This window comes from Homo sapiens, chromosome 11 (genome assembly GCF_000001405.40).
Source record: "Homo sapiens chromosome 11, GRCh38.p14 Primary Assembly".
Classification (NCBI taxonomy): domain Eukaryota; kingdom Metazoa; phylum Chordata; class Mammalia; order Primates; family Hominidae; genus Homo; species Homo sapiens.
The window spans coordinates 111,580,269-111,606,826 of NC_000011.10; the positions used below are offsets into that span (position 1 = coordinate 111,580,269).

The 26,558-nt window shown below is 41.1% G+C and overlaps 1 protein-coding gene across 2 annotated transcripts in view, besides 3 other annotated features; it reads left to right on the top strand.

Annotated features, from left to right (window-relative positions):
• Positions 21,567-21,706: an enhancer, noted in NCBI's record as "active region_5517". NCBI's record gives its function as "activates an Ori minimal core promoter by ATAC-STARR-seq in GM12878 lymphoblastoid cells {active_cell/tissue: GM12878}" and the evidence as "EXISTENCE:reporter gene assay evidence [ECO:0000049][PMID:35858748]".
• Positions 21,797-22,236: a silencer, noted in NCBI's record as "silent region_3898". NCBI's record gives its function as "represses an Ori minimal core promoter by ATAC-STARR-seq in GM12878 lymphoblastoid cells {active_cell/tissue: GM12878}" and the evidence as "EXISTENCE:reporter gene assay evidence [ECO:0000049][PMID:35858748]".
• The window catches only part of SIK2 (salt inducible kinase 2), a 128,407-nt gene continuing 124,029 nt past the window's right edge, over positions 22,181-26,558 (top strand). The window contains exon 1 of one of the 2 annotated variants that reach the window (NM_015191.3): positions 22,181-22,430. In NM_015191.3, the coding sequence (NP_056006.1) occupies positions 22,296-22,430 (135 nt within the window). In that variant the 5' untranslated portion in view covers positions 22,181-22,295. Of the gene's footprint in view, positions 22,431-26,068; positions 26,478-26,558 lie in introns of those variants that run through there. The other variant, XM_017017417.2, reaches the window with a different exon arrangement.
• Positions 22,787-22,946: a silencer, noted in NCBI's record as "silent region_3899". NCBI's record gives its function as "represses an Ori minimal core promoter by ATAC-STARR-seq in GM12878 lymphoblastoid cells {active_cell/tissue: GM12878}" and the evidence as "EXISTENCE:reporter gene assay evidence [ECO:0000049][PMID:35858748]".

The following is a 26,558-nucleotide window of genomic DNA, read 5'->3' on the forward strand; positions in this document are numbered from 1 at the left end:
ACCATACCCATTAGTATAACAACTTTTAGTGACTTCAAGTCCTTCTAGCAAATTATCAAAACTAAGTGTGGTTTTGAGAATCCCCAAACTTGCAGTTGATGCCAGAAGCAAGGGCAGCCTTGTGAACTGCTCCCAACACTCCCCACAAGACCACTGCACTGTGGTGGTGTCTAGCAGGAGGTCCATGATATCCAGTTGTTTCTTTTTCTGCTGTTCTTAGCCACTGATGATCATTGCTTCTTTGAAAGAGGTCATTACCTCTTTGAAGACTGCAAAATGGTGATATTCTACTTCTATCCTTTCTTTTTTATTAACTTGAGCCTTCCCCTTCATCAGTTGTTTGGTTATCTGATATAGGCAATATAGGAAAGACAGGAAAAAATGCTTATTTTATTTACCAGTTTTTAAAATTAAGAGGTAGTTCCTTGCATTCTTCAAAGTGACCAATGACTTTTTAAAAATCTTTATGTCATGAATTTAAGCATCAATCATTACAGATGTTCATCTTTGAACACCTGTGGCCAAGAAAAGAGTATGTAAATTAACTCCTGTCCTTTTGACATGATCCTAGTAATCTTTCATAGCTTGCTTCCTTGCTTTCTGGTATCACAAGATGTTCCAAGTTTATCTGGCATATCCTCTGCTTCAAACCTGGAATCAGCCATTTCTCTAAGAAGACCTGTCTCAAGTTGGGTTCTTCCAGGAAATTGACTCTGAGTTGAATATTTACATGCATTTAAGGGACTGCCCTTAGAATTAACACCTATGGGGGAGGGGCAAAAGTAGGACTGGGCAGAGAAAGCAGTGGAACCACAGTACAGTCACAGCCAATTCCACACAGAACACTGGAGATGGTCTAGCCCTGTAAGATGTCCTGCTTTGAGGCAAGAGAGCCTGACCTTTATAATCCACATTAACCAGTCATTAGATATGGGCTGCCTCTGGGGAGAATGGTATAACCCTGGGTGAGGTGACTCTCTTCATGTTAGGGCAGTGGTTCTCAATCAAGGCACTTTGTCCCCCAGAGACATTTGGCAATGCCTGGAGACATTTTTGGTTGTCACAGCCATGGGTAGGGTGCTACTGGTGTCTAGTGGGTAGAAGCCAGGGATTCTACTAAACATCTTCTAATGCACAGAACAGTCCCCAACAACAAAGAATTATCCAGTCCAAAATGTCAATAGTGCTGAGACTAAGAAACCTTGGTTTAAGACAATGCCCAGAGAGTGATTCAGGGACAGCCAACAGCCACCACTGTTCCCAGCATCCCAGGCCTCAGTTCTGAATGGAGAATCTGGGTGGCAAACCACAGCATCCGCTACATGTCTTGATTACTTTTAGAGAAAACTAGTAAATAGAGATCTCTGTCTGGGAGCTAGGAGTGCTTGTTGCCTGCAGTTTGATCTCTATTTCTAGGCCTATTCAGGGGAGAGAACTAGGAAATTATCTTTTTAATACACATCATTCATTATATCAATATTTCTAATTCAAAATCAGGACTCTGACATAATCCTTCTATTTAGAAGGTATAATCCTTCTATTTTGAGAAGCTTGGAACTTGTTGACCCTAAGAAGTTTCCTGAGAGCCACCTCAGTAAACCATTTTTGAATGTCATTAAGTTTGCATATTAGGGGGTTACAAAAGTAAAGGAAAACTTTGCAGGAAAATGTTCAAAATAATCCAGAATATTGGAATTAGAAGGAACCTAAGAGATCATCTAAACCAAAACTCTGATTTTACAAATGAGGAAAAGGAGGCCTAGAAAAGTTCAGCAGACTTAATCTAAGGTCCATAGCTACTTAGTGCCCTAACCAGGACCAGCATCAGGACACTAACCCCTCATATTTGTTTCTTTTTTCCTGCCTCAGCACTCTGACTCTTCTCTCTAGTATTAACTCTCCCATGCTGCAGAAGAAAATAGAGCAAAGAGGGACAGAAAAGGAGATGAAACTCACTCCTTTTTCACAGTATACCTTGGTGGAACTGAGAACTCAGATCTGTATGCAGAGAACTGAGCACAGATCTGTAGGAAGGAAGTGCTTCTTATCCACTGTTAGTGGAAACATCTGTTTGGTTGTTTTTCCAAAGCACTGTTAGATTGTGCTGTGCCTTCCACATTCTCTCCTGCACTCTTGCTAATGACCAAGCAGTTACACACCAGCAAGGCTGGCCAAGGTTGGGACATCTTAGCAAAGAAAAAGAGCTCAATTAACCAGTCCATGCAGGGATAGAATGATTGATTTGGTCTCATTAGTAGCATACACAAAAACAATCAATTAAGCTGGCAACATGGTGTAATGCCTTTTCAAATGAAGGTAACCCTCTTTTTTTTTTTTTTAGTCAGGGTCTTGCTCTGTTGCTCAGGCTGGAGTGCAGTGACTGGTGTGATCACACCTCACTGCAGCCTCAACCTCAACCTCCTGGGCTCAAAAGATCCTCCTCCCTCAGTCTCCCAAGTAGCTGGGACTACAGGCATGCATCACCACGTCCTGCTAATTTATGCATTTTTTTGTAGAGATGGGGTTTTGCCATGTTGCACAGGCTGGTTTCAAACTCTTGGGATCAAGCCCACCTCAACCTCCCAAAGTGCTGGGATTACAAATAGGTATGAGCCACTGCGCCTGGCCATTAGGAACTGTCTTCTTTCAATTCTTTCCTAGGCATACTAATCTGAACTCTTGTCCTAGTAAGTTGTTTATTATTTCTTCCAGTGCTTCCTAAACTTTTCCACTGAAGTACTGACAGAGAAGAATGAAAGCTACACAACACACACACACACACACACACATGCACACACACACGCACACACACACACACACACACCCCGGTGTGTACTCAAAGCCCTGGGAAAGTGACCCAAAGCAAAATTATTGGGAAATGCAAAATTTTTCCAAAGTCCTGTGTTTATCTTAAATATTCGTTCAAGTCCCACAACCTACTCTGTTTTTCTTAAAGAAACAGAAGTTTAAAAGGGCAATTGATATTCCAGAACATGCAGTATGTTTAACAAGGGCTTTGAGAAATCCCTTCCCCTCCCAAATCATGATATACCTCTTATAACCCCATTTAAGAAACCCAGATTGAGAAATCACTTATATAATAGATTTCTATTGCTCTGAGGTAGAATTCATACTCTTAAAAGTAGTTTGCCTTTTTAAAAGAAATCTGCATTCTATCTACTTATGAAGCATCTATTTTTTTTTTTGTTCTCATTTTAGCAAAATCACTAGTTGTTTCGGTTTTTTTTTTTAAGAGATAGTGTCTTACTTTGTCACCCATGCTGGAGTGCAGTGGTGCAATCACAGCTCACTGTAGCCTTGAACTCCTGGGCTCGAGCAATCCTCTCACCTCAGCCTCCTGAGTAGCTAGGACCACAGGTTTGTGCCACTACACCCAGCTATTTTTAAATTTTTTTGTAGAAATCGGGTCTTGCTATGTTACCCAGGCTGGTCTTGAATTCCTGGCCTCAAGCAATCCTCCCAACTCAGCCTCCCAAAGTGCTGGGATTACAGATGTGAGCCACCATGCCTGGCCCAGTTAAGTTGTAATAATCAAGATTTTCAAATAATTTGTGTTTTATCAACAGTAGTGATAAAAAAGATTAAAATTAAAATATACATCTATTCAAGCTGTATAAATTTTTATATTTTTATCAAAAGTATAATATAAATACAAAAAATTTTAATATGAAATTGTTTTTCATATATTGTTAAAAAGTTATCTTTTCTAAAATATTCAAAACCATCTATTAAAATTAAAAGGCAAAATATACATTAAAATTTGTAATTTTAAAATGGGGATACCACAGACTGCAAGCTTTTATTTTTATTTATTTATTATTATTTATTAATAATAAATGTTTATTAATATTTATTTATTTAAAAGGCTGGAGTGCAGTGGCACAATCTCGGCTCACTGCAGCCTCCGCCTCCTGGGTTCAAGCAATTCTCCTGCCTCAGCCTCCCGAGTGGCTAGGATTACAGGCACATGCTGCCATGCCCAGCTAATTTTTCCATTTTTAGTAGAGACAGGGTTTCACCATGTTGGCCAGGCTCGTCTTGAACTCCTGACCTCAGGTGATCTGACTGCCTCAGCCTCCCAAAGTGCTGGGATTGCAGGCATGAGCCACCGCACCAGGCCCAACATGCAAGTCTTTATGGCATTCAGATGCAGCCACCTGCTGTTTTGAGGACATAAGGCAAGAGATATGGAGAATGGTTTCCTGGGGCCTAACCAGTGTTAGTGGTAAGAGTGGACATTTAGGCTTATGGCCATGCTGTGTCAGTGCTGAATGCCAAACTGAGAGAGGGGTCATGTGCTCTTTAATAATGTGTGTGTGGGTGGGGGTGTTGTGGGTGGTTTGTGATATGCAGGGCCTTCTAAACCCGGGCAGTTTTCACTTGTCCCAGTCTGAGGACAGTCTGAAGTCTTCAGAATATGAATGCATCATGGAAAAGGGAAAGTGGTTTGACACCCCAGCCCCACCCCTTACCGCTCCAGAGAGCATACAGAGTTTACAAGATATTACCTGCCTACCCAGTGAAGTTAGTATATAAAGCAGATATGATTATTACTACTTTACAAATAAGGAAACTGTATTAGTCCATTTCATACTGCTATTAGAACTGCCCGAGACTAATTTACAGCAAGCGAAGGGGGAAGTGCCCTTTATAAAACCATCAGATCTCAGTCAGGTGCGGTGGCTCACACCTCTAATCCCTGCACTTTGGGAGGCTGAGGTGGGCAGATCACCTGAGGTCAGGAGTTCGAGACCAGCATGGCCAACATGGTGAAATGTAGTCCCAGCTACTCGGGAGGCTGAGGCAGGAGAATCACTTGAACCTGGGAGGTGGAGGTTGCAGTGAGCTGAGATTGCACCACTGTGCTTCAGCCCAGGGTGACAGAGCGAGACTCTATCTCATAAAACAAAACAAAACAAAACAACAACAACAACAACAACAACAAAAAACCCATCAGATCTCCTGAGAACTCACTCACTATCACAAGAACAGCATGGGGGATACCGCCCCCATCATCCAATTATCTCCACTTGGTCTCTCCCTTGACACATGGGGATGATGGAGATTATAATTTCCAAAGATAAGATTTGGGGGGGAACACAAAGCATGACCATATCAGAAACTGAGACACAAACTAAAATGAAGTGACTCTCCGCTGGTTAGCTAGCTACAACATGGTGGATCCAAGAGCAGAACTCAGGGCTCCTGGCTCCTTGCCCATAGAAGCTGGCTGCCTCGTGTCTCACTTCCTGATGCTCAAAGTTGCTACTATATTACTATAAGGATTTTGTGGTCAAGTAGTATGTGAGTTGAAAAGAATAAAAGAACCATATTGTTTAGCCCTCTTCAGTGTTTAGGGATCTGGAGGTTCAGAGGTGGAGGAAAAGGGAAGTCATTTTAATAGATGTTTTCTGAACCTGATCATTGAACTCCAACATCTGAGAATCAACATATCCTGAAATGTTTCTGGTCAAATAGTGATTATGGGCACAACAATAAAATTACTGTATTTAGTCTTCTGGTGCATGGTCAGCATCTTCTTTTATCCTTTTGATTTGGATTTCCTTGGGCTACTGAATGGGGATGTTTTCTGTTCTTACGTGGCAATTTGAGAGGGGTAGCTAAGTAGCATAATTGTTATTTACCATGTGGTATGCACTATTTGGGAGTTGGGGGCTGAACCTGACAGAAAATTAAATGTGATTTCTGCCCTCAAAAGTCCTCATTTTACTCTGATGAATAGATCTGACATGTAAACACAGGAAGGAGAGGAGAGCACTACTTTTAGGGGAAGTGGATAGAGAGATACACAATAAGACAGACCTCTGTGAGAGTACCTAATAAGTTTAATTGGATGATGAATTGAAGAAAATTAACAGATTATTTTTAATTTTTACTTTTGGGTATAAAGCAAAGGCTACAGATGCTGCCTCTAAAACTGATCTCCACACCTCCAATCTTATTCCTCCAAAGTTATGGTATAAGTTCAGTTATATGGCACCTGCCCACAAGCCAGATTTTTGGTGACATTTTATCTTCTTCACACAAAAAAAATATATATATACTCCTCTCTCTTTCCCACTGCCAACTCTCCTCTCCAGAAAGACTCAGGACACTAGAAATAAGTATCTTTGTTCACAGGGATGGATGGATGGATGGATGCCTATTTAGAAAAACATTTATGACAAAATGAGGCTGACCAGTAGAGGGGGCATGGGACTTACATTTGATGTTCTTTAAAGAACTAAGAAACAAAGGTGCTTTAGTGAGGTCACAAAGCAGAATTCATTAGGTGTGTAGCAAATTTACAACTGCTAGAAAAGTTTGTGAACGTTCTCTTTATATCTTTACATTCCTGTGTGGGCATATGGAAGAGGAACATTGTGCAGACTCCAGGAGTGAATCACTCTTGATCCAACAGTGCATGACATTTCTTACTTGAGCTCTCTTGCATTCAGATTCTTATTACTCAATGGTATATGTGTGACTTCATTTTAACACAGTTTTTTCCATTATGACACACATGTAAATTCCTCAAGTTGCTAAGGCACACTTTGTGTGGCAAAACATTCAAATGTTAGGTCAACTTTTACCTTCACATATCTAGAGATTGTTATCCTCAGCAATAATTGCTCTTAGTGGGTACCTTTGTGAGTAAAATGGTCTTAAGTGCCTGGGGGCCTAAACCTAATTGTTGAGACCCAGGACCTAGAGTCAAACAGATGAGACTTCAAATTCTTGATTCTGTCATATACTAGCTTCATGGACTTGAGCAAGTTACATTAACTCACTAAGCTTTGATCCATCTGTAAAAAGGGGATTATAGTAGTAATCAAAAATAGGATTGTTGTGTAGATTAATGATAACTAATAGTAAAAACAAAATATGGTTGGGATAGTTGATGTTTTTCTGCTCAAGTGCACAGATTATCTTTGATTCATGAAACACTGTTTTTCACTGGTACAAGCTTAGCACCCTTTTTGTTTGTTTGTTTGTTTGTTTTGAGATGTAGTCTCACTCTGTCGCCCAGGCTGGAGTGCAGTGGCGCAATCTTGGCTCACTGCAAGCTCCGCCTCCAACTTATAATTGTTGTTAGCTTATAAGCATTATAAGCTTATAAGCATGCCCGGCTAATTTTTTTGTATTTTTAGTAGAGACGGGGTTTCACCATGTTAGCCAGGATGGTCTCGATCTCCTGACCTCGTGATCCACCCGCCTCGGCCTCCCAAAGTGCTGGGATTACAGGCATGAGCCACCGTGCCTGGCCACTCTTTTGTTTTTATTTATATATACTTATGTACTTATTTATATATTTGCTTATTATGAATAAAAATATGAATACTTGTAAGCCAACCACCCAATATAAGAATTAGAATATTAACAATCATACAACCACCTATGAGCTTCCCCTCAATTCATTTCTCCACCTTCCCTTCCTTGAATCTCACATTTATGGATCTCATATTTGATTTTCAGAAGTTATTAATTTTAATATAATCAGATTCATTAATATTTTCTTTTATGGTTGGAGGCTTTTTTGTGTCCTTAATACTTCCCTAGCTCAAAGTCAGAAAGACATATATTTGCTAATAAAATTTATAAAATTTTACTTTTAACATTTAAGTATTTAATTTATGTGTTTATTTTTATATATGGTATGAGGTAGGGATCAATGTCATTTTTTCCATATAGATTTTTTTTTTGAGACTGGATCTTGCTTTGTTGCTCAGGCTGGAGAGCAGTGGTGCAATCGCAGCTCACTGCAGCCTTGACCTCCCAGGCTCAAGCAATCCTCCCACCTTAGCCTTCCAAGTAGCTGGGACCACAGGCACATGCCACCATCCCCAGCTAATTTTTTTGTAGAGATGGGGTTTCACTATGTTGCCCAGGCTAGTCTGGAATTCCTGGGCTCAAGTGATCCACCCATCTCATCCTCCCAAAGGGCTGGGATTGCAGGTGTGAGGCACTGCACCTGGCCTAGATAACCATTTTTTACAAGTCCATTTATTGAATAGTCCCTCCTTTCCCCATTGATCTGCCATACCACTTCTATCATATATCAAAATTCCATATATGGTCAGGCGCAGTGGCTCATGTCTATAATCCCAGCACTTTGGGAGGCCAAGGCTGGTAGATCACCTGAGCTCAGGAGTTTGAGACCAGCCTGGCCAACATGGCAAAACTCCATCTCTACTAAAAATACAAAAATTAGCTGGGCATGGTGGCACACACCTGTAGTCCTAGCTACTCAGGAAGCTGAGGCAGAAGAATCACTTGAACCTGGGAGGCGGAGGTTGCAGTAAGCCGAGATTGTGCAGCAGCACTCCAGCCTGGGTAATAGAGTGAGACTCCATCTCAAAAAAAAAAAAAAAAAAAAAAGAAAAAGAAAAAAAAACATATATACATGGGTCTGGTTTCTGAATTTAAAGTTTCATATATTTATTTCTGAACAAATCCCACACTATTTTTATATCCTATAGCACTATTTCCAAATATGATTTTCAAAGTAAATCCTGTTATTAGTAAAAAAAAACTAGATCAATAAACATTGTTTATTATGCTTGTTTTATATTTGTTAATTTTGTTAACCATCTGATCTAACATATTTGCTTCTGGTGGCATCTATAATCCAAGTTGTTGCTTTATTTTGAAGTAACTGTACTCCTGAGATGTCTCATTACTTTGGCCTGTGAGTATATATTTCTCTGATGGTATCAGCTATTCTGTTTGAGCATTCAAAATGGAAAAAAACAGTCTGTGTCAACATCCAGTGAGCTCAAGGAGAGAGGAAGAGACAAGCACTACGGTGGAGAGATCCAGGCACCAAGCACCAGACTATCATAATTAATTGCTTAGGCTGGGTATCACGCCACCAAGCAACTCTTCAGGTCAGGGCCCTATCTTTAGACTCACACTATCCTCTATCCCTCAAGGAGAAGCAGCCTGAAGAGACGGCATTTCTGGATTGTAATTCACCAGCCCTAGGGGATGGAGGGTGTGGTGCAGTGGGAGAATAAATGCTCAAGGTCATCCAATCCCCACCAGTTTTCTATTTCTAAACTCTGGCTTCTGTTCTGTCCTGATCATTATCCTTGTGGACACTTATATCAGCAGTCTGAGCCTCTGCTTTTAATTTCCACATAAGTCTCCTGCCCCAGGCAACAGATATACATCCAGATATACACACACATCCCCACATATACACAGTACACACATGGAAATACACAATACCAATTCAAAACAGTTCCTCCAAGATTGATCTTGGGGTATGCAGCTAATTCTTTATCTTGGCAAAAAAAAATTGGGGGTTTAGGGTTTACATACTGGACAAAATTGTGAAACGAGTATCCCCTGGGACCTTAGCTGTACTAAGACAACCCAAGATTTAAAATCTCCTTCACAATGCTTACCTATCTGAGCCTCCCATCCCTATCATGCCCCAAAGGTTACTGCTCTGTTCTTTGCTTTCTTCACGTTCCACTCATTGAAGCTTATCTCTCCCCTATGCAAATACCTAATTAACCCAATTGTTATGGTCTGAATGTATGTGTCCTCTCAAAATTCATGTGTTGAAACCTAACTCCCAAGGTGATGATATTAAGAGATGGGGCCTTTGGGAGGTGATGAGGTGGTAAGGGCGGAGCCCTCATGAATGAGGTTAGTGCCTTTATTAAAGAGGCTGTAGAGAGACCCCTCTCCTTCTTCCACCCCATGAGGATGCAGCAAGAGGCACGTCTAAGAGGCAGAGAGCAAGCCCTCACCAGACACTGAATCTGCCGACTCCTGGACCTTGGACTTAGCCTCCACAGCTGTGAGAAATAAATTTCTATTACTTATAAATTACTCAGTCTAAGGTACTGTGTTATGGCAGCCAGAACAAACTAAGACACCAACCATGAAGCTAATGGAAAAAAATCAGAATAGCAGAGACGAAGGAGAGGCTTTTTCTCCGGGTAAACTAAGTACAATTTAGTAGTGGCTTCTGGAAGACTGCCACATTTGCTTTGTTTAATCCAAAGGAATAAGGCTATGTAGAAGGGAAGTAGCAGTGTGCTGGAGGAGATATTTTAGCAAATATAATCTTTCAGCTTTCAAATCTCACTGTGTAGAATCACATCTCCATAATATTAATTCCTAGTAATGCTTATAAGCTAACAACAATTATGTCAATTTTTCCCATTTCAAGTCTCATGGGTCACAACATGCATCATGAATGAGCACATACTGGACCTCACATAATATGGTCCCCCTCCCCTTCAGCCCCATCCCTCTCCTCCCCCATCACTACCCAGCTGGAACACTTGCAGCTTTTTCTGACCTCAAGATACTCAGAAATTTTGTCCCTGGTAAGGCTCCCTCCATATCTCATCTCCTCACTGTCTCCTGCTGATTCTTCCCATCTCCCCTTAAATTTTGTTTCCTGAGGAAAACTTATTGACCCCCAACCCCAGACTAGATCAGGACTCCGAAGAAGTTCTTTTCTTTTAGAGCATTTACTACAATTATGAATATGTAAAAGAGTGAAATTGGAGTAATACACTGGAAAGTAGAAAATAATGAATTTTTGTTTTTGAACAAATACATATTGAGGACTTACTATGTACCAGGTATTGTATTAGATACTAGGAATATTGTGGAGAAAGAGGCAGACCCCTTCATCTCACTTTAATCACCCTTTCTTGAGGATATCTCCTGAGTCTTATCACCATCTAGAACAATATCTAATACAAATATGCCAGCATAGAACATCCCTTCTCAAGATCTTTCATGCCCCCTCACTCTCATCTAATTTAAGCTCCAGACTCTTTTTTTTTTTTCTTTTAGAGACAGGGTCTCACTCTGTTACCCAGGCTGTAGTATAGTGGCATAATCCTAGCTTACTATAGCCTCGAACTCCTGGGCTCAAGTGATCCTCCTGCCTCAGCTTCTTGAGCAGCTAGGACTACAGGCATGCACCAACATGCTTGGCTCACTCCAGACCTTTGAGCCTACCATCCCTCCACCCTCATCGAAAGCCTCCTATTCCTCCATCCTCACACTCCCTGCAGATATCTGCTTCCTACCTCACAGAGGAAATAGATGCCAAGGTTAAACTTCCGGCACTGTGCACTACCCACTTAACCAGCAAGCAAAGCTACCCTTGCTTCCTTCTCCCACCCATATCAGAGTAAAGGAGGGGTCTACCCCTGACTAAAGAGTCTCTTCTGTTGTAGATTCCCTTGTCCTCTGTAGGTTATCTCTAATCACCTTTATTTCAAACTTTCTGTCTTCTGGCTCTTTCCAGAAATGCTTAACTCTACCAGTTAAAACACACACACACACACACACACACACACTCACACATACACACTCACCACCAAACTTCTCTTGACTCTACATCCTCTTCTATCTTCATTCCTTCACAGACACATTTTTTGAAAGAACGATCTACACTCATTTTTCTTCATCACTTCCCACTCTAGCTTGGCTTCCGCCCCCAGTACTCTGAAACCCTCTGCAAAGATCATCAATTATCTCTTTGTCAGTAAATCCAGTGAATTCCTTTCAATCTTCATCTTGCTTGACATCTTTTCAGAGACTGAAAGTACTCCTTCCACCTTGAAATTCTCATTTAAGGTCTCTTTTCCCTAGATTTTAAGGTATTTTTCCCTCTTTATCCATTCTCCTTGTTTATCTGGTCTCTACTCTTTGGTGGGGAGGGAATGCTTCTCTTTATTTGCCCACTCCTGTGGTGCTGAATAAATACTGTAGGATTTTGCCTTCTCCTTTTTTTTAAATTTTCTTTAAGAGATGAGGTCTCGCTACGTCACCCAGACTGGAGTGCAGTAGCATGATCATAGACCATTGCTGCCTTGAACTCCTCGTCTCAAGTGACCCTCCCACCTCAGCCTCCCGAGTAGCTGGAACTACAGATATGCGCCACCAAGCCCAGACTCCTTCACTCTTTATACTCCCATTGAATGACACCACTCACATCCTTGACTTCAACTATCAGTACTACCAATCTCTCTATTTTCACCCTAGATTTCTCCTCTGAGCCCCAGAATTATGTATCCAGAGCCCATAAATGGCAATGCAAACATTTGACTCCTACCACAATTCATTTGGCTCCAGCATACAGACATAATATGTATTGATTTCTGCAAGTTATTTAACAGTCTTTTATTACATCCTTATATATATTAGGCTGTAATAATTAGAGGAATAAGGGCTAAATATCTAAATGAAATGGATTATATGCTCCCTGAGGGCTGGGACCATATTTTATCTACCTTTGTATGTTCAGTGCCCAGCACAGTGAATGGCATGTGGTAAACTCTCAGTAACTGATTGCATCTGTTCACTCCAGTCAACAACCTGGGAGCAATCTTCAACATCTCCCTCCCTTCCATTCCTCACATCTTATCACTGGCACAGTTGGAATTTATCACTTCAGCAGTTTCCTACCCAGCTGCAACTTCAGAATTTCTCTACAGAGGGGTTTAGGAGCAGCCATCTGGCTGAAGGGACAGAGAAGGCCTCCCATGACCTGGTCTCAGGTGTCTTCCTGTTTTATCTATGGACACTGTCATTACTGAGTTTAGATGTTCACAACTGATGATAGTTACCTGACATACCATGTCTCTTCCTACTTTTGGGACCATTGCTCGTTCTGTTTCTTTCTCCTCAAATGCTCATCCAATTTTTTTTCATCTGGCTCTTACTAGACCTTTATAATTCTTTTCAGCTTTCATCTTTTGGAAGCCTCCCCTGAAGACCCTTAAACTGAGCTGAGTGTGTCTCCTTTGAGCTCTCTGTCCAAATCTCTCATCTTAGCTCTCACCACATTACATTAAAATTGTTTGTGTGTCTACCTTCTTCACAACAATCCTCTGAGGTAGGCACTATTATTTAGCACTATTTAACAGCAATTCAAGCAAACAGAGGTTAAGTAATTTCCCCAAGGTCACCAGCTAGTAAGTAGCAGAGCCAAAGTTCACACTTAAGCAGTTGGATTTTACAACTCCCTCTCTAAACCAAAAAATTCTCAAGGGCAAGGACTGTGTCTGACTTATGTTTGTATGTGTCTACCACGATGGCTAGCACATGAATGCAATAAATGTCAAACTAAACAGCACTTGCTGAATTCTGCTAAAAAGTTTTGGAATTTCAAAAATTACTAAGATATGATCCTTACCCTAAAAGAAATTCATGATCTAATAGAGGTGGGAAGATTAGTAAAATACTCCAATAATAGGAATGAACTAAGGGGAAAGTAAGTGAGAGTTAAGTAGCTTACACATTGAATTATTGGTATTAGAAGGTCAAGATGCCTCTTTAAAATCTTTTTTTTTTTTTTTTTGAGACAGGGTCTTGCTAGGTCGCCCAGACTGGATTGCAGTGGTGCGATTTCAGCTTACTCCAACCTCTGCCTCCCAGGCTCAGGTGATCCTCCTGCCTCAGCCTCCAGAGTAGCTGGGGCGACAGGTGCACACCACCACACCTGGCTAATTTTTGTATTTTTAGTAGAGACACCATGTTGGCCAGGCTGCTCTCAAACTCCTGACCTCAAGTGAACCACCTGCCTCAGCCTCCCAAGGTGCTGGGATTACAGGCGTGAGCCACCACACCTGACCCCTCTTTAAAATCTTTTTCCAGAAGCATGAATATAGAATCTTCCTGTAACTCAGAGTTATATGAAAAACCAAATCAGACACAGTGGCTCATGCCTGTAGTCCCAACTACTCAGGAGGCTGAGCCAGGTGAACTACTTGAGCCTAAGAGTTTGAGACCAGCCTGGACAACATAGCAAGACCTCGTCTCAAAAAATAAAAGTAAAAACAACAACAACAACAAAAAAAAAAATCAAATGAAGGTGGACCAATAAATTATGGAAGTTAAACTGGAAGATGTTTAGTGGCCAGGTCTAGGACTGCGGCCCAGACTTTGCCCTATTTACCAGTTTACCAATCCACAGTCATGAACCTACTATGAGCCATACATTTGTACTAGGAGTGACTCCAAGTACAATGACTCCAATAAAAATATAGAAAACATGTTGGTGGAATCTGTGGACAGCTTAGAAAACTAACAATTAGGTAATATGATAGGTGGCGAGCAAAGAATCAAAATGATTATTTTATCTGGAACAAGGAGCAAAATCAACAAGATGACATTTTAACTATCAGAATTTCCATTTATATTTTTAAAAAATCAATTGCCTAAGAAAACTATAAGGGTGACTTAATACAATAATAATTGTTATTTTTAAAGACCCAAGGGTTTTAGTTCGCCTTGGTCTTAACTGTGGGATGTGGCTACTAAAACGACAACTAGCCCAATTTTTGGTTGAATTAATATGAACATGGAGTCCAGATCAAAGGAGCGACTGGTCAGTGGCCAGTATTCTGTACTGCTTAGACTACACCTGGGCTACTATGTTCAGTTTTTTGAACAGTATTTTAAGAGAGACATTGACAAACTAGTGTCTAGAGAAGCACAAAAATAAGGGTAAAAATAGTCAGCTAGACAGTGAAGTTGGGAATCTTTTGCCTGGAAAACTGAAGAAAGAATATGAGAGAATGTGTGTGAGTGTGTGTGTGTGTGTGTGTGTGTGTGTGTGTGTGTATGTAATGTCTTGCTCTAGAGAAAAGAACTAAAATCTATAGGCAGAAGTTAGAAGCAGATATGAAACCAATAATAAGGAAGTGCTTTCCATTGATGCCAACTGTCTCACAATAGATTGGGTTCCTGCATGAAGCAGTAAAGCAAGGCTTAATGTCACCCATCAAATATTTAGAAATTTATGTTTCAGATAGGAAGATGGACTCATATGATACTCTCTAAGATCCCTTTCAAACTTAAGGTCCTAAGAAAAGTTGTCATCTGGGAGAAGATACAAAAATTTTGAAATTATTTTTAAAAAATTAGAGAGTCACACATTTTTCATTTAGAGAAGATCCATCACAGATAAAACCAAACTAGGGCATGGTTAGCTAAAGACCTCCCTCTTAGTACTGGTTTTGCTGCATCCCATAAGTTCCGGCATGTTGTATTTTCATTTTCATTTGTCTCAGGATATTTTTTATTCCCCTCCCCACCTGCCTTTTTTGAGATGAGGTCTCACTATGTTGCCCAGACTGACCTTGAATTCCTGAGCTCAAGCAATCCTTCCACCTTGGCCTCCCAAGTAGCAAGGATTACAGGCACATACCACACCTGGCTCTGGTTTCCCTTTTGATTTCTTCTTTGACCCATTGATTGTTCAGAAGTGTGTTATTTAATTTCCGTGTATTTGTGAATTTTTAAATTTTCCTTCTGCTGATTTCTAGTTTCATTCCTTTGTGGTCAGAAAAAATACTTGGCATGATTTCAGTCATCCTAAAATTTTTAAGACTCGTTTTGTTACCTAACATGTGATCTATCCTAGAGAATCCTCCATGTGTGCTTGAAAAAAAATGCATATTTATATGTAACCATAAAAGACTCTGAATAGCCAAACCAATCTTGAGCAAGAAGAAAAAAGCTGGGAGCCTCACACTTCCTAATTTCAAAATATATTACAAAGCTACAGTAATTAAAACAGTATAGTACTGGCATAAAGACAGAAATACGGACCAATGAAAAGAAATAGAAAGCCCAGAAATAAACTTCCACATATATGGTCAACTGATCTTCAACAAGAGTGCCAACCATACAAAATGAAGAAGGGATAGTCTCTTGAACAAATAGTGCTGTGAAAACTGGATATTCACATGCAAAAGAATGAAACTAGACCCTTACACTATATAGAAAATCAATTCAAAATGGATTAAAGACTTAAATGGATGAAAGGCTTTAAATTATAAAACACCTAGAAAAAAATGTAGGGGAAAATCTTCTTGATATTGGTCTTGGCAATGATTTCTTGGATATGGAATCAAAAGTACAGGCAATGAAAGCCAAAATAGACAAGTGGGACCACATTAAACTAAAAAGCTTCTGCACAGCAAACAATCAACAGAGTGAAAAAGCAACTATGGAATTAGAGAAAAAGAAGTGCAAGCCATATATGTGATAAGAGCCTAATATCCAAAATATATAAAGAACTCCTACAACTCAATTGAAAAAAAAACAACAAATAACCTGATTTTAAAATGAGCAAAGGACTTGAATAGATATTTCTTCAAAGAAGATACACAATTGGCCACTAGGTATATGAAAAAGTGCTCAACATCACTAATCACCAGGGAAATGCAAATCAAAACCCAAATGAGATAGCATCTCACACCTGTTAGTGCGGCTATTATAAAAAAAAAAAGATAATGAGTGTTGGCAAGGATATAGAGAAATCAGAACTCTTGTATACTGTTAGTAGGAATGTAAATCAGTACAGCATTATGGAAATCAGTATGGAGGTTCCTCAAAAAATTAAAAATAGAACTACCATATGATCCATCAATCCCACTTCTGGGTATTTATCCAAAGGAGTTGAAATCAGGATCTTGGAGAGATATCTGCACTCCTATGTTCATTACAGCATTATTCACAATAACCAAGATATAGAAACAACCTAAATGTCTATCAATAGATGAATGGAAAGAAATATACATACACACACACACACACACACACACACACACACACACACACCAGAATATTATTCAGCCTTAAAAAAGAAGGGAATCCTGCCATATGAAACAACGTGGATGGACCTGAAAGACATTATGCTAAATAAAATAAGCCAGTCACAGAAGGACAAATACTGCATGATCCCACTCACATGAGCTACCTAAAATAGTCAAACTAATAGAAACAGAATAGAATGATGTTGCCTGGGGCTGGGGGGAAGGGAGAAATAGCAAGTTGTTTAATGGGTATAAAGCTTCAGTAATTCAAGATGAATAAGTTCTAGAGATCTGAACAACAAAGTGCCTATAGTTAATAATATTGTATCGTACACTAAAAAATTTAAGAGAGTAGATCTCAAGTGTTCTTACCAACCCCCACCCAGCCCCCCGCTCCTGGCACACAAACATGGGAGCAGTGGGGAGCTTTTGGAGGTAACGGATATATTTATTACTTTGATTGTAGTGATGGTTTGACAGGTGTATGCATATGTTCAAACTCATCAAATGGTATATATTAAATGTGTGCATCTCATTATATATTAAGTACACCTCAATAAAGCTATTTTAAAAATAAAAGTACTAAAGAAAGTTTTCTTTAAATAACTTCAATCCTCTAGTTTATTTCCATAATGGTACCTTACATGTAGTGGCATCCACATGTTGATTAACCTGACTGATTGATGTTTGTTTCATGAATAGCTGTACTTTATACTAATAAGAAGCCCTTGGAATGAGCACAGGTCAGTGATTTGGATTTTCTTGTGTACTTCTGTCTTTGTTAATATAAGAGGCAAAGTATTCATTCTAGCTTTGTAATCTACTTTTTCTAAGCAAAGTTGTCTAATAAAGATTTCATCAGTTTTTTATTTGAACTAAATCTAAATCCAGGCCTAAGCCTAGTTTTTTGTTTTGTTTTGTTTTGTTTTGTTTCGTTTTTGAGATAGAGTCTCACTCTGTAGCCCAGGCTGGAGTGCAGTGGCGCGATCTCGGCTCACTGCAAGCTCCGCCCCCTGGGTTCACACCATTCTCCCACCTCAGCCTCCCCAGTAGCTGGGAGACAAATGGTACATATCTTTTTTTCAGGTTCACAGGCTGTCTGCTTCAGCAAAATAATATACAGAATTGTGAGCCATGAAGTCTTCTTTCCTCACATTTCAGATCACTTTTTCATTACCTCTTTGCTAACTCGTCTCCTCATTCCACATATTTATTTATAATCCACTTTATTCTAAGTAGGTTATAGAATTAATTCTTAAGTCTCTCACTATCTTACTTAATTCTTTCTCTGTGTACACCTTTTTACCTTTTAAAGTGTTCTGTTAACATTTTTTAACCAACTCAATGCTAAATATCATAGACCCACAGCATCAGCTGGGAATGCTGCATCTGAAAGCTCAAGCAAAAAGGAATTTGGTGACTAGAGTGCTTTCCCTCACTGATACTAAAACCAGAGACGGAAAAGAAAGATGGGGATTGTATGAAGCTCTCTTTCTTCTCCTTTTCCCTCTTATCTTTATTCTTTTTTCCTGAGGATGGTGTGTGTGTGTGTGTGTGTGTGTGTAGGGAAAGAGAAAGAAGAGGAGAAAGAGGGAGAGAGGAAGAGAAAAGGAAAGCAGGAGTTGGATAATATTAATAATTGCTAAAATGTATACAGCTATCATTTAATTGGAAACAAAAATACATAAGAGACAGGCAGGGTTGAAATAGGACAGGGATGAGTAGGTCTTTTGGATTAAGGAAAGAGTTGAATCACAGAATCCAAGATTGCAGTATTCTAAATTAGTCCACATATATGTATTTCTTCAGGGTTTCATTTACAGCCTACCAGTAACGCTGAGTAGCACGCCCACTGCATTTCCACATGAGTAAGGCTGATTTTTGGCACAGCCCCTTCTGTCTCTTCCCTCTTTCTGGCCTCCTGTTCTCTAACTTGTAGACACCCAGCATGCTCACACTAACTCCAGCTTTCCAAAACCTTTTGGTACTCTCTGTCCTCCCTTTTTCTTCTTTCCAGCCCCAAATCAATTCTTATTCCCAGACTGTGCAAGTAGGTGTTTGGCCTGGTTATCTAATTTAAATACTCAAATGAATCCATTTCCATTCAACAGGTATACTTTAAAGGATGAGGTTGTTCACTGTAGTGGGTCTCCCTGCGTATTTTCTGGTTCTTGGTTAAGTGGCTTTTCATCAGATTCCCAAAGGAACCCACCCCCAGAACAATTAAAATACAATCATCTGGCTGGGCGCGGTGGCTCACGCCTGTAATCTCACCACTTTGGGAGGCCAAGGCGGGCAGATCACAAGGTCAGGAGATCGAAACCATCTTGGCCAACATGGTGAAACCCCGTCTGTAGTAAAATACAAAAAATTAGCCAGGCATGGTGCTACGTGCCTGTAATCCCAGCTACTTGGGAGGCTGAGGCAGGGGAATCGCTTGAACCCAGGAGGCAGAGGTTGCAGTGAGCTGAGATCATGCCACTGCACTCCAGCCTGGCGACAGAGCAAGACTCCACCTCAAAAAAAAAAAAAAATACAATCATCTAAGTGGCAAAATGCACATGGGAACTATTTTTGAACTGGTATACATATGTAGGTTCCTAGCCTAATTAGAATACCTCTCACTAGTTAGAGGACCACTCATACACCACTCCCATCAATTCAGAAATCTGATCAGCCTTACAGCTTTCCCCCATTTCTCCCCTCACTTTTGCAAACAACATACCTCATGGTAGAATAAGGTATTGCTTGGGGAGAGTGAAAAGCAGAAGCACAGGGAGCAGTGGAGGGCCCAAAAGCCATCTTGCACTAAAAAATATATATATATAAATTTTAAAATAAAATAATACACAATATATTAATTTTCATTAAAAAATTAAAACTACAGAAAAGTTGCAAGAACAGTACAACGATCTACCACATACCCTTTTACCTACCTTTTACCTATTTTATCAATTTAAAACTTTGCCACATTTGCCTTATCTATCTGTGCTAAACTACTTGACAGTAAGTTGCATATATCAAAAGGTTTTTTTTTGTTGTTTTTTGTTAGAGTCTCACTCTGTCACCCAGGCTAGAGTGCAGTGGTATGATCTTGGCTCACTGCAACCTCCGCCTCCCAGGTTCAAGCGATTCTCCCACCTCAGCCTCCAGAGTAGCTAGGATTACAGGCGCACCACCACCCAGGCTGGTCTTGAACTCCTGACCTCAAGTGATATGCCCACCTCGGCCTGCCAAAGTGTTGGGATTACAGGTGTGAGCCACCACGCCCGGCCAAAAATTTTATACCTAATTGTTTAGTGTGTATCTCCTAATAACGGATACTCTCTCTTATAATCACAGTACAATTATAAAATTCAAGAAGTTTAACACTGAAACAGTATCTTATCTAATATGTAATCCATATTCAAATTTCAGTAGTTGTTCTGAAATATTCCTTTATAGCATGTTTTTTCAAGACCACATGTTGCCTTTAGTGCCATGCCTTTTTAAATCCCTTAAATCTAGAATGGTTCCTCAGCCTTTCTTTGACTTTCATGACACTGATGTTTTTTAAGGATACAGGTCAGTTGTTGAGTAGAATGTTTCTTAGTTTGCATCTTTCTGATGTTTCTAGATCATAATATGCATTTTTGACAGGAATACTACTTAAGAGATATTGTAACCTCAGTGCCTCACATCTGGAGGCACATCATGTCATTTTATCACATAATTGGTGACATTAACTTTGATCATTTGGTTAGGGTAGTGTCGGTCAGATTTCTCCACTGTAGAGGTACCCTTGTTAACCCTTTATCATGAATAAGAAATCCAAAGACTGTGCAAATATCTTGTTCCCCAGCCAAATTTTATTCAATGATTTTAACATCTATTGATAATTGTCTGAATCCATTATTACTGTAATGGCTGCCAAATGATTTGCTAATTGTCATTTCTTCTAACATATATTAGTTGGCATTCCACCGTCATTTCACTTCTCCCCTCTTTATTTTTCTGTTTAAAAGTAAGTATGCTCTACGATTCTTTTAAAAAATTCAATGTGTTAGAATCAATTTCTATATTTATTTATTTATTTATTTATTTACTGAGACAGAGTCTCGCTCTGTCGCCCAGGCTGGAGTGCAGTGGCACGATCTCGGCTCACTGCAACCTCTGCTTCCCTGGTTCAAGCAATTCTCCCTGCCTCAGCCTCCCGAGTAGCTGGGATTATAGGCGCCCACTACCACGCCCGGCTAATTTTTGCATTTTTAGTAGAGATGGGGTTTCACACAGGCTAGTCTTGAACTCCTGACCTCAGGTGATCCACCCGCCTCAGCCTCCCAAAGTGCTGGGATTACAGGCGTAAGCCACTAAGCCCGGCCCATTATTTATTCCTGATACTCAAACTGTCTCAGATTTGGTAAGGGGGGAGCACCTTCGAGCCATCTGCTTTCTTTTGACATATCTTCCTTGACATAGCCAAGAAATCTCCTTGCTTTAAGGAGCAGGATCTTTCAAGGGCATTTTATACTTTCCCTGTCTCTGCCCTCGAATGAGCCATCTCGCCACGGAGTCTGGCTCCTTTAGGTGGAGAATGGTATTTAGAAACCAAGATATAAAGGCATATGATACATCTCAAAATAGTGAGGTGTCACTGTCCCTGTTTCCTTGAGTCACATTTGGAAGCGTGGTGTGATTTATAATCCTACCTCGACTATTGCCTGTGTGACCTAGGCAATTCCCTTTATTCCTTGAGGTCTTCTTCGTCCTTTGGGGAAAAAAATTGGATTAGAGAAATATTTCTAAACTTTTTCAGAGTCACCAACGCGTTTGGGAATCTGACAGAAGCTACGGGTCCATCTCCCCAGAGACATGCTCACATAAGCAAAAACTGGCCTGTGTTTTAGGGGGTTCCAAACTCTGAAGCTCACATGAGGCTCCAAATCTCTGGATTAAGTGATCTCCAAGATCTCTTCAGCGCTGACATTGACATTCTGTGAGTCTATAAGCGACTGCACTGCTGTCAGAATGACTCCTCGGAGACATCAAAACGTGGAGGGTTTTATTATATATAGCAACGAGAAGAGAAAAGGACACAAAGAAAGGAGCCTGTGAGCAACGCATTGCTCAGCCACAGTTCTTTGCCGGTGCCAAATTTAGGACGCGCTGTACTTGTAGGTGAGAGGTTTTGGCGGGAAGGACCCCGGGTGGGCGGAGAACGCCGGGGCGGGGAAGGAGATCGCAGGCCGCATCCAGGTCTCTGCACCCCTCCGCACGGTCCGCCAGGGCTCGCTCTTGCCCTTCGCCTGGAAGGCCGAGGAACGGAGCGGGCCGAGCAGCGACCCCGCCCCTGGCAGCGGTGAGGCGGAGGGGCGAGGGGAGGGCGTCTGAGCCCGGAAGGAGCGCGCCGGCCAGGCTCGCGCCCCTCCCCGTGCGCCGTCCCCCACTCTCCAGCAGCCGACGTCGGCGGTGCTTCGGTCGCCATGGTGACCAATCCAGGCTCGGGCCCGCCCCCGCCCCCCTGCCCCGGCCCCCTGACGTCGGCGCACGTCAGCGGCGGCGCGCGCCTGGCTGGGCCCTGGGGAGCGGGAGGGAAGGAGCGAAGGAGCGAAGGAGCAAGCGGAGCGGCCGTCGCCCAAGCCAAGCCGCGCTGCCAACCCTCCCGCCCGCCCGCGCTCCTGTCCGCCGTGTCTAGCAGCGGGGCCCAGCATGGTCATGGCGGATGGCCCGAGGCACTTGCAGCGCGGGCCGGTCCGGGTGGGGTTCTACGACATCGAGGGCACGCTGGGCAAGGGCAACTTCGCTGTGGTGAAGCTGGGGCGGCACCGGATCACCAAGACGGAGGTGCGGCCCGGGGCTCGGCGGGAGCGTCCGAGGCGAGGGTTCGGGAGAGGAGCTGCTTACCGAGAGGGGCGGCCGCAGTGGTGGGACCGGGGAGACCCGAGAGGCCGCCTCACTGGCGGAGGCGAGCGGGCCTGGGACTGTGAGGACCCAGGAGGTGCAGGGGGTCGGTGAGCAGCGAAGGGATCGGGCCCGGGCACCCGGACCCGAGTGTCGTCCGACTGGAAACGCAACCAGCCGGGGCTTTGCTTTCCCCTACGCCACCCCCGGTGGCCACCCGGAATTTCGCCCAGAGCCCCCCACCCGGGCCGTGACCTGGTCTGTGGCCTCCGCTCCGGAGCCCAAGTTCCGCGTCTTCCCTGCTTTCGGCTGGGGGTGGGGTGGGAGGGGAAGTCTCGGTGTTCCCAGGCTGCGCCGTGAGAGACGTCGCCGGCCCGAGGAGGGGACCGCCTGCGCTTGGGCTCCGCGGATGGGGGATCGTGCGGCCCCCGTGACCCCGGCGCCCCTCCCCTGCCCGACGAGGAAGGGCCCCATGGCTGGGAATACCCCCACGGCCACTGTCCATCTCCTCTCCTTCCTTTTGGCCCAGGGTGTCTCTGATTTGGTGTCTGGCTAGCTTGATCTCTTGCCTGGGGCATTTCCATTTAATGCCCCAGACAATAGAACTGGTTAAAATGGTCATCTCTGCATTTGCACGGTGGGTGGATTGGTCTTCTACTTGTCTAGGGTTGTCACTGTACCAGGTGTGCATTCTGGCTGTAATACGCATTCTTTAAACCATATCAGATTCTGCCTCTACTCATAAAGCCCTCAACTGCTTCCTGACGGTGAATCCTGCACCCTCTTCATTGCACATTCTAATGCACCGCACATACTCTCTCACAAGTCTCTGTTCTTACCTAACCCGCCCCCCTTCCTTCCACTGCCTCAAGCTGCTCTCCTCAGGGTCTCTATTTTAAGACGTGCAAATTAAATACCTTAGAAGAACGGTAGAAACAAAACCATTCTTTAGAATAAAACCTAGTGGTTTTGACGTACTCTACTCTGCCTTATTGTAGTTCCTCCTGGAGTTTCATCCTTTTCCTGTTTGTTTGCCCTCCAGTTTTGGTCCTATTCTGCTTTTTCCCTTGTTAGTACGAATGTACTGGAGTTTGAGTGTAGAATAAAGTAGGACTTCTTTTCAGAATGACTTATGTAAGGCGAAGGGCACTTGCAAACGTGAGTGATTTTTGGAGTTGCAGTTGTACTTAGAAGTTTTGCTTAATCCCGTTTCCAAAAGGAAGGGGTATATGTCATTCTGTCTTCTTTACTTTTTGCCTTCCCCTGCTGGTCCTGAACCAGTCCAAATCTGACTTATCTTTTAGAATCAGGACCAAGGTCAGATATTTTCTTCTCACAGATTTACCAGTTAGCAATTTAGATTGTTTGTAATGATAATGATAACTTGACTATAGTGATATTGTTAAATCTTAATCTGATCCCAGCATTTTTTAAAATGAAGAAATTGGTTCCATTCCTCTGAAGAGCCATGGCCTATGCCATGCCATTTCCCTTTAAGTTACATAAAAGAAGGCATTTTAAATGCATGTTTTATGAGTCCTTGCTTAATGACTTTCTAAAAACAAACAAATTGTGAGTTATAGAGAGGTTCTACAAAACTTTTGAACTGTAGTATATCGTGTGGTTGAATTCCAAATCCATCAGTTCTTAATATTTTTTTCTCATCAGCTCTTACTGGGATTAATAGCAAGATTTAATTAAGTCATCTATTATTTATCAGGTCAAATTTAGTTAATACAGTAAGAGCTGCTTAAGTGGAGTGATTGACACTTTGAGGTTGACAATTCAAATGGTGTCCGTTTTAAACTAATATATCTTAAAGAGCTAGGGGGCACTATGGAGTAATACCGTGGTTTGGCTATCAGAGTGAGATCAATGCATTCATTTGTAATTGGAACAAGCACCGGTCAGATCGTGAAAGAGGACTTAGATCCTAAATCGTGTGTGTAGTATATATGTGTAAAATGATTTACGTTAAAAGCTAAATGTTTAGTCCGCAGAACCCATTTCCCTGTGCTTTTCTAAAGAAGCTGTTATTAACATATAAAAAGAAATAGTGTGAATTTGAGATGGGTGAGGGTATCTGTGGTAATTTGGTGGGTGTGATTGGAGATATTAAGGTAGAGAGGGATAAGTGAAATGTCAAAGCAATCTTTGAACAGAAAAGTTCTCTGGATCTCTAGGTTGTAAAGTTGCTCTGAATTTTTTTTTTTTTTTTTTGAGACGGAGCCTCGCTCTTGTTGCCCAGGCTGGCTGGAGTGCAGTGGTGCGATCTCGGCTCACTGCAACCTCTGCCTCCTGGGTTCGAGCGATTCTCCTGCCTCACCCTCCCAAGTAGCTGGGATTACAGGCGCTCACCACCATGCCCGGCTAATTTGTGTGTTTTTAGTAGAGACGGGGTTTCACAGTGTTGGCCAGGCTGGTTTCGAACTCCTGACCTCAAGTGATCCACACGCCTTGGCCCCACAAAGTGCTGGGATTACAGGCGTGAGCCACCGCGCCTGGCCCAATTGTTTCTTAAAGTATTCCATGGGAGTAACAATTCCATTGTTAATGATGTTTTTTACAGCAGTTATTTATCCTTATTCGTTCATTCACTGGATAAATGTTTGTGTGTTTTTGATAAATACAACTACCTTAAAAACTATAAGATGTTTAATTAAAACTTTTGTTTTAAATTCAGTTTTCATGGCAGAACATACTACAGTAGTTATAGTGGAACAATGAATATGGTATAAAAATAATATCAGCAAAATATCACAATTATACTTATTGACGATAAAAGTTTCTTTATATACTATGCTTTAACATCGATACAAGTTTGTGTGTTTTAAAACTTAGAGGTCTTTTTTCCCAAGTTTGACTCTGAGGCAAATTTTAGGGCTTAATCATCTATGTAATGAGCAATTAGGACCCTTTTATTTTTAACTGGTTCTTCTCTGTCTCTTGTTCTATATCACTCACAAATGATGTATTTCTACAGAACTTGGGAGATTCAAGTCTGTTTCCCTTTTAGGAAAAAAATAGTGGACAAAAGAGATCTTCGTTTTGGTCGAATCTATCAAACAGTTTAACATTGTTTATGAAATATAATTACATCATCATCTGAAGTGGTATTGTGTTAGATCTCGATGTGAATTTTGCATCCAAAGGGGAAGACAGGTGGTGGTAGAATCCAGCTTCCTAATACGCTTTGCAAAGGCTTTGTAGTATTAGTTTGTGGTTTATGAATTAGAGATGCTAATTTTATAAAATTAGCATAATGGGAAAAGAATAATAGCATGTCAGCTGTTAAACTTTGAGGCAATAGTGGTTGCTTGTTTGCTATTCAGTGAGTGTCCTTGAGTAGTTTATTTTATCAATACTATACAGTATTAGGAAATAACTTTTTCCTTCTAGTTAGTGGTATAGCTAGTTTTTTGTCTCTTAAGTAAAATTCTAGAAAAGCCAATTGTATCCTTAAATGTTTTTGTATTCTATTTAAGAAACAGTTTCTTTCTTGTTGCTTTCAGGACAAAAGAAAGAAAAATAAATAAAGAAGTAGTCTCTTATTATAATATAAAAAATAAGAGTATAGTGAACAAAAAAGTATACATATAATTCCTCCACTAATGGGAATAACCCATTCTTAACATTATGGCACTAGTCTTTTTATTTAAATGCATTTTTTCCATAGATGAAAGCACATGGTACATATATATAAATTATGTTCTTTTTTCTACTTAATATTATAACCTAGGCGTTTTGTTTATTATATATAACTTTATAAAAACATTTTTGTTAGCTGCATGGTGTTCTACCTTGTGGATGAATATCGTTTTACCTAACAATTCCCTTATTAATGAATATTATGCAATTTTCAGTTTTTGTTTATAGTAAATAATACGCAGTGAATATTTTTGTGCCTATAACTGAGTGTGCATTTTACATTTTTTTTAGGGAGGAGAAATTGCTGGTAAAGTCCTAAAAGGAAATTTCCTAAGTAACAAGGTATTATTTTTACATTAAAGAGTAGTGTATTTTTATTACCAAATCTGTCGTGTTTATTATTGAGAAATTTAAAAGTATAAA